Source organism: Homo sapiens, chromosome 10 (genome assembly GCF_000001405.40).
Source record: "Homo sapiens chromosome 10, GRCh38.p14 Primary Assembly".
NCBI classification, from domain to species: Eukaryota; Metazoa; Chordata; class Mammalia; order Primates; family Hominidae; genus Homo; species Homo sapiens.
This window is the reverse complement of record NC_000010.11, coordinates 99,671,756-99,684,599: the sequence shown is the minus strand read 5'-3', so window position 1 is coordinate 99,684,599 and position 12,844 is coordinate 99,671,756. Positions and strand designations below refer to the sequence as shown.

The 12,844-nt window shown below is 39.1% G+C and overlaps 1 protein-coding gene across 3 annotated transcripts in view; it reads right to left on the bottom strand.

The window, feature by feature from the left end:
- ENTPD7 (ectonucleoside triphosphate diphosphohydrolase 7) overlaps nucleotides 1–12,844 on the bottom strand; it is a 51,733-nt gene that overhangs the window by 26,642 nt on the left and 12,247 nt on the right. For all 3 annotated transcript variants that reach the window (NM_001349962.2, NM_020354.5, NM_001349963.2), the window contains 2 exons: nucleotides 5,134–5,339; nucleotides 4,725–4,875 (listed from right to left, as the gene is read on the bottom strand). In NM_001349962.2, coding sequence (NP_001336891.1) covers nucleotides 4,725–4,875; nucleotides 5,134–5,339 — 357 coding nt within the window. The remainder of the gene's footprint in view (nucleotides 1–4,724; nucleotides 4,876–5,133; nucleotides 5,340–12,844) is intronic.

Here is a 12,844-nt window from a genome sequence, read left to right as displayed (position 1 = left end):
GAAGATCTATATTTGAAGTAATAATCTTCCAGTATAATGTCAAGTATAGTTTCTTAAAAAAAGTTCATTGTTATACATATTAAATTCTTGCAATAAGAATTTCAAATGGGGACCAAGAAGGGGTATTCTTCTGTCCCTATTGGATATGCTTCTAAACTCCTCAAAGAGAGGGTTCGTTGGTTTTGGCAATGATATGGAAGAATGGGCAACAACATATGTTGCTGTTAGTTATGCAAATTACTAGTACAGGCTGGGTGCAGTGGCTCATGCCTATAATCCCAGCACTTTGGGAGGGTGAGGCACATGGATAACCTGAGGTCAGGAGTTTGAGACCAGTCTGGCCAATATGGTGAAACCCCATCTCTACCAAAAATACAAAAATTAGCCAGGCATGGTGACAGACACCTGTAATCCCACTCGGGAGGCTGAGGCAGGAGAATCGCTTGAACCCGGGAGGTGGAGGTTGCAGTGAGCCGAGATCATGCCACTGCACTCCAGCCTGGGCGATAGAGGGAGACTCCATCTCCAATAAATAAATAAATAAATTACTAGTACAACCTTTCTAAAGGGCAATCCAGGACCATGCTTCAAAATGTTTCAATGTGTTTAACCTTTGATCCAGCTGTTATACTTTTAGAAATTAATTCCAAGGAAATCATCAAACAATAAAATAAAGAAGAGAAATACTGCAGCATTATTTATAACAATGAAAATTATTTATAACAATGAAAAACTGGAAATACCATACCATAGGGATTGGTTAAATAACTTATGGCACAGCCATGCAATGTAATACTATACAGATGTTAAAAGAAATGAAGTCTACTTATATCTACATGTATAGACATGAAAAGATAAGAGATGTCCAATACATTTTACAAAACAGTATGTATAATGTGATTCCATTTATGCTAAAAAAACAAAAACCCAAATCATTCTTCATGTATACATAGTGACAGGATAAAGCTTTCATCTTCTAAAATTCAATATTGTTTATTTATTTAAAATGCTTTTAAAATGGCGAAATGTTGATAATTGTTAAAGCTGGGTAGTGGGTAAATGGGGATTTACTGCACTGTTCTCTTTACTTTTATACACAAGTGAAATTTCCTAAAATAAAAATTATTATTTTATTAAACACCACCTTGTATTATGGTGTAATTTTTAAGGGATTTTTTTTAACTGCAAAATAAAAGGGAGGTAGAAAAAATTCTGTTAGTCCAGGCCTTTGGCAAAGAAATAAAACCAAATGCTAATAAATTCAAAATATAGTCTAAATGGTTCAACCCTATTTTGAATCTGCTTACAAATGCTAATAAATTAGCAAACCTTTAATCATACAAAACAGGTTCTTATACTGATAGTCACATTTATGCCAACAACTCGCTTGGACTTAGAGGCAGCAATGATTTTATAAGCCTAGAACAGATGTATGCATTATTTAGAGAGGTGACCAGAAAACAAGTTGAAAGAGAAAAAAAAAAGGCAAATTTCTTTAAAAATTCTTTAGATACAATAAATATTAATATTCAGAGTTTCCACATTGACAACTAACATCTTAGACAAAAAGGGTGGAGCTACACAGTGGGTTTTGTTTGGATGGAAACTTCTTTGACAGAGGTAATACCGAACAGTGCCAGGAGGTGAGGCAACAATCTCCTTTCCTCCAAACACACTAAAGGTAGCCAAACTACCAAGTGGGTTCCTCTGCCCAGCTCAGCTGGTCAATTCTGCCTTTTTAACCTCCAGGTCAGCTTTTTCTCTGGCCTCCCTCCCCTTTCCTTGGCCTTTTATAGACTTTGTGATGTGGCACCTGCTCTTGTGTCATCTATATTCTTCCCAGGGTTTCTAAAATTTTTGAACAATATGAATATCACCTATGTCAAATAAAAATTCTTAATTGCATGCACAGTATGATTGCAACTTTGTGGAAATTACATATATGTGAACAGAAAGGAGGGAATACAACAAAACGAAACAGTTTTGATAGGGTAGCAGGGTTGTAAGTTGTATTGTATTGTTTTGTTCATTTTTAAGATTTCCCTTAAGGAGTTAAGGCTGCAGTTACAATATTTAAAGTTTGGTTTTAAAGATAAGTAAAAACAAAACAAAAAATTTTTTAAAGACTGAAATGTATGGGGCAATAAGGAACTAAAAAACCTCTCATGTTGACAAATGGCTATATAAATAATCTGCTTCTCAACAGTAAACCAGTCAGTAAACCAGTAACTGTGAAAAAAAGTCCACTGAAAGAAGCATTGCTGCTATATGTTATGTTGTCTACATGTCTGACATAAGCCTTGGAGCCCTACATGTATGGCTGAGGTTTTTGTTGTTTGCTGTTGATTTAAGGAAAGAAAGCCAACTATAAAATTTAAACGTTGTAAAAAAAAAAAAAAACTGCTGTTGACCAAAGGAAAATATTTAAGCTAATAAGGAAATACCTGATGCCTATGAGACCATGAACATTCCAGGAGGATGAATTCTAAAGTTAAGGTTGGCAATGGTCTCATTGATATGACACCAAAAGGCACAGGCAACCAAAAATAAACAAGTAAGACTATATCAAACTAAAAATTTCTGTACAGTAAAGGAAAAAATTAACAGAGTAAAAAGGCAAGCTACAGAATGGGAAAAAATATTTGCGAACTATACCTTGGTAAGGGGTTTATCTTTAAAATATTTTAGAAACTCCTACAACTCAACAGCAAAAATCCTATTAACCCAATGTAAAAATGGGCTAAAGACTTGAATAGACATTTCTCCATTCACAGAAATGGCCAACAGGCATATGAAAAGTTGCTCAACATCCCTAGTCATCAGGGAAATGCAAATCAAAACCCCGATGACATATCACCTCACACTTGTCAGGATGGCTGTTATCCAAAAAACAAAAGACAACAAGTGTTGGCAGGGCTGTGGAGAAATTGGAAACTCTGCATACTGCTGGTGGGAATATAAAATGGTGCAGCAGCTCTGCAAAACAGTATGGAGGTTCCTCAAAAAATTAAAAATATAGGCCGGGTACGGTGGCTCACGCCTGTAATTCAGCACTTTGGGAGGCCAAGACGTGCAGACTGCTTGAGCCCAGGACTTCAAGAACAGCCTGAGCAACATGGCAAGACCCCATCTCTACAAAAAAAAATACAAAAAATTAGCCAGGCATGGTGGCACATGCCTGTGGTCCCAGATACTTGGGAGGCTGAGGTGGGAGAATCACCTGAGCCTGTGAGGTGGAAGTTGCAGTGAGCCGAGATCATGCCATTGCACTCCAGCTTGGGCAACAGAGCGAGACCCTGTCTCAGTAAATAAATAAATAAATAAATAAATAATCAAACTGTCATATGATCCAGCAATCCTACTTCTGGCTAATTATTCCAAAGATTTAAAATCAGGATCTCAAAGAGATATGAGCCCTCCCATGTTCACTGAAGCATTATTTACAATAACCAAGATGTGGAAACAACCTAAATGTTCACTGACAGATGAATATGTAAAGAAAACATGGTACATACACACAGTGGAATACTATTTAGACTTTTTTAAATAAAAAAGGGCATTCTGCAATATGTGACAAGGTGGATGAACACTAACGACAATATGCTAAGGGAAATAAATAGGCACAAAATTTCAGTTAAGCAAGATGAATAAGCACTGAAGATCCACTGTACAACACTGTACACACAGTCAACAATAACGTATTGTATACTTAAAAATTTGTTGGGCCAGACATGGTAGCTGACGCTTGAAATCCCAGCGCTCTGGGAGGCTGAGGCAAGCGGATCACTTGAGCCCAGGAGTTCTAAACCAGCCTGGGCAACATGGTGAAACCTGGCTCCACAAAAATTAGCTGGGTGTGATGGTGCCCACCTGTAGTCCCAGCTACTTAGGAGGCTGAGGTGGGAGGATCACTTGGGCCTGGGGGGCAGAGGTTGAAGTGAGCTGTGATCACACCACTGCCCTCCAGCCTGGGCAACAGAGCAGACCCTGTCTCTAAAAAAAAAGAAAAAAATCTGGTTAGAGGGTAGCTCTCATGTTGTATGCTTACCACAATAAAATAAAAATCATTAAAAAAAAAGTCAGGGAGCTCATTCTTCCCCCGGCCTACGTAAGTATGGACGGATCAAGGTGGTACCAAAGGAGAGAAATCACAAACAAGGAGTCTGGCCTAAATACAGCCTTCTCTTCCTCTTCCTCTAATGCAGGAAGAGGGATCAGGTGGCAAGGTGTCAGGCTGAATTGCAAAGGTCAAGTGGAAATGATGTGACTGGCTGGGGCTGAGAAAACAGGCCTAAGGCAATGGAGACTGAGCTTTGCAGTAGCAGCAAGAAGAGGGACTCCCCCAGTTATTGCCAGGGTTCTAGGCAGAGTTACAGAAAAGGTAGTGTTCCTACCAGAGCTCTCTGACTAGTCCCTAAGTATCCAGGTCATCAGGTGACCCTCTTCCTAATTTATTCTGTAATTATGTTCTCTATGTGCCCGATGATCCAAATCTATTACCATCACCACTACTCCCAACCCTCAATCCAAACTAAGAATCACTATAGTCATCCCAGATAGATACTGATCCCAAAGCAGCAAATGACAAGAAGTTGGGAATGAATGATTGTGTCATAATTGGGTTTAGGGGTATAGACCAGGGAACCACAGAGGACAGTGCATGAAACTGGCCTTTCATCTCTTGTGCCACCGTTTTCCTGTGTTTCCTGTACCCTGCATCTCACCTCTCAGGGAGAAGCCTCATGCCTGCTGTGCAGAGGATGTAAAGAGGGGTCTCCTTGTGCTTCTTCACAGGCACATGAGCAGCAGCAAAGCTCAGCAGAGGACGAAGGTAATCACTGGCATGTTCTGGAGTGTCTGCCATTGCAGAGATTCCTTAAGTTAAAACAAACAAACAGACAAAACTTTCTTTAAAAAGCGGCTCACATAAGACTCAGGAAACTGATACCCTATAAAGTTCTCCTCAAGGTCCTAAACATTTATTTATTTGAGAGGTAGGGGGTGACAATGAAAGAGATATCCCTCCCATTACCCAGACTCTCAAGAAGAAAGGGGTAGCTTGCTTTCTGCTTCTTTTGTCTCCTCTTTCATGCCTTAAAAGAGACTGACAACAAAATATATTCTGATTAGTACCTGGCTTGATTTTTTTAACCACTGGTTGGCTGTTGCGGTCTCTCATCTGTTTGATGTCCAGCAAGTCATGGGGGTTCCCATTATGTCTTGGCCAGAAATAAACAAAAATCCGGGAACCACTGCTGCCACAGTCAACAACAAGTCCATAATTCAGATTTGGGTCTTCAGTGTCAGTAGCTTCAAGCTCCCCTACTCGAGCCAAATACCTAAGTCAGGCAAAAAGAGAAATCAGTGCTAAGCAGTCAGGTCCATGAAAGGCGCCCTCACTTACTTCATTTGTTCATGAATCTTCATTAAGTGCCTACATGTGCTAAGCACATGGGACTACCAGTCCTAACCAATGAGTGAAGCAATATTGACAGATTTACTGATGTGCTTGAGACAATAGCTGGTTCACTTGCCTAGAAGCCACTGAAATTAGATGACTAAAAGATGTCCCCACGTGTGGGGGCAGCTCTGAAACTGGCTAAGGTAGCAATCTTTTTTCAAGCATTAGAGCTTGTAGCCCTGAATAAATAATTGGTTTTTTGTTATATGCTATTAAGTTTTGGGGTAGCTTGTTAACGCACACTAGATAACTGAGACAATCTTAATCACTTCTTTTCTATCTTTCTGTATAGATGCATCCAGAATATTGTGGAATGATTTCTCATTTAATGAGTTTCTGGGAGGTGATTTTTTTTTTTTTTTGAGACGGAGTCTTATTCTGTCACCCAGACTGGAGCGCAGTGGCACGATCTCAGCTCACTGCAACCTCTGCCTCCCAAATTCAACCAATTCTCCTGCCTCAGCCTCCCAAAGTGCTGGGATTACAGGCATGAGCCACTGCACCTCGCCTGGGTGGTGATATTTTTGATTGGGCTTTTTGGTTTTGCTTTTTGTTTTGTATTTATATTGCTAGAATTGCATTAAAAATGTAATTCATAAAAACAATAATTATTCTTTTCTACAATATTTTATATATATACATATATCTTTTTTTTTCTTTTTTCTTTTTTTGAGATGGAGTCTCGCTCTGTCTCCTAGGCTAGAGTGCAGTGGCATGATCTCAGCTCACTGCACGCTTCGCCTCCCAGGTTCATGCCATTCTCCTGCCTCAGCCTCCCAAGTAGCTGGGACTACAGGCACCCGCCACCACGCCTGGCTAATTTTTTGTATTTTTAGTAGAGACGGGGTTTCACCGTGTTAGCCAGGATGGTCTCGATCTCCTGACCTCGTGATCCGCCTGCCTCAGCCTCCCAAAGTGCTGGGATTACAGACGTGAGCCACCGCGCCTGGCCTAAATATTTTATAAACATAAAAAGAATGATAATAAAATATGTATAGGGTATAAAGAATAACAATAAAACAAATGCCTGTGTACCTACCACCAAGTTTAAAAAATAAATTATATTTTTAAAAAATAATAATAATAATTCTTGGCCCCTAGGACATTAGTATTTTGTGTTGGAATTTTTTCAGATTCTCATTCCAAGATATCTGGCTGGCTGACATCAGGAAGATGAAACAAGTAAAGGTGTTCCATGAAACATAGCAAGGTTTGAATCTCAGCTCTATTGCTTTCTATGCTGTGTGACCTTAGGCAAGTTAATAAACTTCTCTCAGACTGTTTCCTCATCTGTAAAACAAGGAGAGTGAAGGGTATCTACACTCACAGAGATCATACACATAGCAGAACTGTGCTGCCGCTGTTAACAGAATAATCATTGGGAAAGTAAATAGTAGAAGACTCTGAGGAAAAAGGCTTAAAAGTTCAGAAAATAAAGAAGACTAAGAGTTGATTAAAATACTTCTGAGCACTTGGCTGGGCGCAGTGGCTCACGCCTGTTATGCCAGCACTTTGGGAGGCTGAGGTGGGCAGATCACCTGAGATCAGGAATTCGAGACCAGCCTGGCCAACATGGTGAAACCCCATTTCTACTAAAAATACAAAAATTAGCCAGGCATGGTGGTGGGAGCCTGTAATCCCAGCTACTCAGGAGGCTGAGGCAGGAGAATCGCTTGAACCTGGGAGGCGGAGGTTTCGGTGAGCTGAGATCGTGCCACTGCACTCTAGCCTGGGTGACAGAGCGAGACTCCATCTCAAAAAAAAAAAAAAAAAAAAAAAGCTATCTGCCCTGCTCATCCAACATTGTCTTTAAAGCCAACTCCTAGATCTCCAAGGCTCTTACACAGAACCCCTCAGAACCAGCTTTTGTGATGTCTGAAGCTAACAGAATTTGGAAAGCCTTCTTTTAAAAACAAGATTCAGCATTACAAATAGAAAAAAAGCCCATGTAAGTGAGGGGCTTTAAGGTATAGGGATCATTAGCTTCACAATAAAACCACCCCCAATCAGAACAACAAACCACGCATCACGCTCCTGAAACCAATCTAGCCAGTGTTTATTGGTGATTTCACATCGTTAGACAAAACCACACTATTCCTTATTTGGGCAGAAAAGCAAACTTGATAAAAAGAAGTGCATGTAGAAATAATTCTGAAATAAAAAAGTAGAGTACCTTTCCTATATTACAATGCAAAATGCATTTTTTTAAAAAAGAGAACAGGGAACTGAGCTTCAATATAATGTAAATTATTACTGAGAGTAGGGGTAGGTAGAACTTTTTTTCTGGATCTGAAATGGTAGTGAGTTGAGGGAAATGAAGCAGATGGTAAAAATCTGTTACATAACAGAAAGTTTCTAATGCTAAAGATTCCATTTCACCACATATCTTCCCATAAATCAAATCACTGGGCTGAACTGGGCTAGAATCCACCAATCAACTAGCAACAGCTCACTTCTATCATATGAGAGCTGGGCAAAAGTCTGGGTTCAAGTCACAGAACTCTTGCAAATACTGACCTCACAAAAGGCCAAAGATAAAAAAGAAATAGGCAAGATAATCCACCCCCATTCCAAAGTGACTTTTCATTTCCAATCATAGCAATCTTTCTATTTCACATGCTTCACAGAATCTTCCTGCTTCCCTTCTCTGAAAACCACCCACTCTGCTTGTCTCTTGCAAGATTCTGGATCCCATCCCCTTCTGCATAATGAATAACTTTTCTCTAGTGCGCTGGTTCTCAAATTTGGGGGCCTTAGGACTCCTTTATAATCTTAAAACTTATTGAACCCCAAAGAGCTTTCATAGACATAGGTTGTATCTATCTATATTTACTATATTAGAAAATAAAACATAAAAATGTTAAGTATTTCATTTAAATAAAATAAACTCATTACATATAAATATATTTTTATAAAAATAAGCATATCTCCTAAAACAAAAAAATAGAAGAGTGGCATTGTTTTATAATTTTGCAAATATCTTTAGTAGCCAAACTAACAGAAGACCCTAGATTCTCGCATTTACTTCCGTATTCAATCTGTTACAATATATCAAAACAATACTGAAAAATTTCAATTTTCAATTTTCACACAAATTGAAGCATTTGTGTGAAAATCTAGCCTCACACAGACACACTGTTGGAAACAGGAGGAGTATTAAACAGCCCTTTCAGATCATTCTGAATACTCTTCTTTGATACTATACTAAAACTCAACAAGTAGCGTTTCTTAAAGATTAGTCACGATTGGGCGCAGTGGCTCATGCCTGTAATCGCAGCACTTTGGGAGGCCGAGGTGGGTGGATCATGAGGTCAGGAGGTAAAGACCATCCTGGCTAACATGGTGAAACCCCGTCTCTACTAAAAATACAAAAAATGAGCCAGGCGTGGTGGCGGGCGCCTGTAGTCCCAGCTACTCGGGAGGCTGAGGCAGGAGAATCACTTGAACCTGGGAGGCAGAGGTTGCAGTGAGCCGAGATCGCACCACTGCACTCCAGCCTGGTTAACAGAGCGAGACTCCATCTCAAAAAAAAAAAAAAAAATTAGTTGCAATTGGAATCTAAACCCCACCCCACCCCACCCCCCTAAAAAAAGATGAGTTGCAATTGGAATCTAAAACCCTATCTAAAAACTTTTCATACTCTGTTACATTAAAATCCATTAAAAAACATGGGTTTAACATGCACTTTGAATGGCTGTTATCCAAGCATGATTTCATAACATCATCTATTGGAAAATAATTGGTTCACTGAGTTATGCAAATCTTCCTAACACTGATACATTTCATTCTACAATCCTTAAAAAAAAAAACACACATTCATTAATATCACTACCAATCTTACTCAAAAAGTCTTTTAAGTATTGGGAAGCTATCCAATTTCACAGTGGCAGATACAGTTTTCCAAAATACTAATTTTCACTTGGAAGTTCAAATTTTAACATTGGCAATAAATACTGAAAACTGTTTTTCATGAAGTGACAGGTTTATTTCACTCATTTTCAAGGAAATGTCTATAAAATACACAAGTCTGAAACCTTAGTTTTTCTGGCAGTCATTCTTTTAACTAAAAATAGTGTTCCATGATAAAAGCAGCTGGGTTTACCTCATAATTCAAAAAACTGCCCAAGTGCTTTTACTCTAGACAACTTCAGCATATAGCAGAAGTGCTTAATACCTATTTCCCCTTTCATCACATAGAATATTGAAAAGATATTCATAAGTGGAACTGAATCTTTTCTTCCAATGCAATTGTGTGGCAATGAAGAATATAGTAACTACTAGTACAATGTGGTGCCTCTATCTTGATTTGCACTAAGGCATTATTAGCGGTTTTACCTGCCATTGCTTTTGCACCATCAAAGCAAGTATCAATCAACTCAGTGAAAAAGGTAAAAAACATGACAACAGTCAAGAGATGGAAGCGACCCAAATGTCCATCAACAGATAAATGGATCTACAAAATGTTGTATATACATACAATGATATATTATTCCGCCTTAAAAAGGAGGAAATCCTGTCACATGTTACAACACAGATGAATCTTCAGGATATTACGCTAAGTAAGTAAGCCAGGCACAAAAAGACAAATACTGTATGATTCCACCTATATGAGGTATCTAAAGTAGAAACAGAAAATTTAATGGTAGTTACCAGCAGCTCGCTGGAAAGAGAGAGAAAAGGAGAGTTCATTAATGGATACAGAGTTATGATCTGCAAGATGAAAAAATTCTGGAGATCTGTGTCACAACAATGTAAATATACTTAATACTACTGACTGTACACTTAAAAATGGTAAATTGTATATGTTTGAACCATAGTTTTAAAAGGCAAAATAACATTTTAGTACTATTATAAAAAATAGTTTCACCCTCACAGACTCCCAAAAGTGTCTCAGAGACCCTCCAAAGGCCACTAAACACTCTTGAGAACCACTGTTCTAATACAGCCTTCCTTTTCTCTTTAACATCCATCTGCTTCTCTACCTACTCCTTCCCCTCTCCTGTCTCCTTGGACATGGCTTCTCAGTTCTTAAAAAGCCTCTACCCAACAATGCTGACTGGTAGTACCCAGAATGATTTGAAAAGGCCTCTTCCTTCTGTTCTAAAATGTGGACGTCAATATTCCCTGTTTATATTTCAGTATGAGCCCCTAAGATTTCTTTCATATTTGCTTGCTCTACCTGTTTAGACCATAAGTTTCTCAAGAACATGTACCTTATCTATACTACCTTGATATTGTCACAGAGTTTCTCATGTTTCTCTGCCCAAAAGATGTATCAAATAGTATTGATTGGTTTGGTCCTAGAGCTCACAAAATGGAGCTGTTGGTCTGTTAACTCCTCCGTGTCTTTGTACAGCTCTATTCAAAATCAACTGGTCTCTTTCTTAGAAAGTTTTAATTGCTTTCCAAATAAAGTATCTTGTTATCCTCTCTGATTCCTGCCAAAATAAGGAACTTTACAGCTCCAGTTTTGGTGCAACTCAACTTTTCTTTCTCTTCCTTTCGAAGTCTCCATGTGTGCTTTGGCTAAAATGTCAGCTGACCTTTGATCACTAAAGAGGAAGATAGGCCTAAATGGCATTTATGCAGTGGAAAGTCTCCATTTTTCTCATTGTGCATACAAACTAGTAACTAAAGAACAGTTTTCCCCTCTGGGCAGTAGCCATATTACCTTTTCCTGGAACTCTGACCTCTTATGACCTAATCAGGTTTCTTACACTTTCAACCAACTAGAAGCCTTCCTCTATTTAGGCTCCTAAAATGAATGGATCACCAGACCTTTCATGCATTTTTTCATATATAGTTTCTTTTTTTTTTGTCATATATAATTTGTAGCCATGGCCTTAGCCATCATGGCCAATTATTTGCATTGCTGGACCCTCCTGTTTTGCCGATGCCACACTAGCCAATCTCTAAAGAGGACCAAAAGCCCAAGAGAAAAGTCTCAAAAGCCTTGGCATCCCTCACATCCACCTTCCCTAAAGAGGTCTGATTCACTGTCACACATACTCACCCCAATACCATACCCACACACACACCTCCTCTGTTTAAGAAACATGATTTCCTTCTAGTCACTGCTGAGTCAATGAAAAGAAAGTTACCCACAAATATATCACCCAGGGTGGAATTGGAAGACAATGGCTTTTCACTGCCATTATCCTGAAAGCATTAACAGCGTTAGAGCTGTAACTAAGCAAACCATTACCTAGCTTACAAAATCAAAACTAATTATACCACTTTAGAGTTCAAACAGAGCTCAGTGATGGGCCAAAAGTCAATTGAAGTAGCCCCCATGAGTATGGGGCTACTAATTCTTTGCTGAATGTCATCATACTCTTCAACTCTCTTCAAAGCTCAGAACCAAATATAATGATATTACAGTTAAAGTAGCTGTGCATGACTGATGATAGTAATACATACCCAGAAAAGTATATTGTAAGATTACTGCTTGCCTCCTAACAAGATTAATCAGAGCAGTCAGGAACATCTATAATTTAAAGTCCTGCTCAAAACACCATTAAGATCAAATAAATGGGCTGGGTGTGGTGGCTCATGGCTATAAGCCAGCACTTTGGGAGGCCAAGGTAGGTGGCTTGCTTGAGCTCAGGAGTTCAAGACCAGCCTGAGCAACATGGCGAAACCCCATCTCTACAAAGAATATAAAAATTAGTCGGGTGTGGTGGTGCTTGCCTTTGGTCTCAGCTGCTTGGGGGACTGAGGTGAGAGGATTGCTTAAGCCTGGGAGGTTGAGGCTGCAGTGAGCTATGATCACGCCACTGCACTCCAGCTTGAGTGACAAAGTGAGACCCTGTTTCCAAAAAAAAAAAAAAAGATCAAGTAACTGAATAAATGTGGGACAGACACAGTGGCTCATGCCTGTAATCCCAGCACTTTGGGAGGCCAAGGTGGAAGGACTGCTTGAGGTCAGGTGTTCAAGGCCAACCTGGGCAACATAGTGAGACCCCTGTCTCTAAAAATAAAAAAAGAAATTTAGCCAGGCACGGTGGCATGCACCTATAATCTCAGCTATTAGGAAGGCTGAGGCAGGAGGATGGCTTGAGTCACTCTATAAATAATAAAATAAACGTGAATAAATGCTTTCAATTTCACCATCAAAAATCTCTGAACTGTTCTATTGCACATAAGAACCTAATCATTTCATCTGTATATGCTAAAGAGCATTCTAACCAAAAGCAATGCTTCTCTTTGACTTGCTTTAATTAAACAGAATTGAAACACCTATGGAAGGCCAGTACCAAGCCAATTGCTGACACAGAACCTCTCATTCAGTTATTTCCAGATGGTAAAGGAACATGAAGGCACCACCTTTCAATAGCTACAAAAGACATTCTTCAGACAATAGTTCAACCAGACAAAATTTTA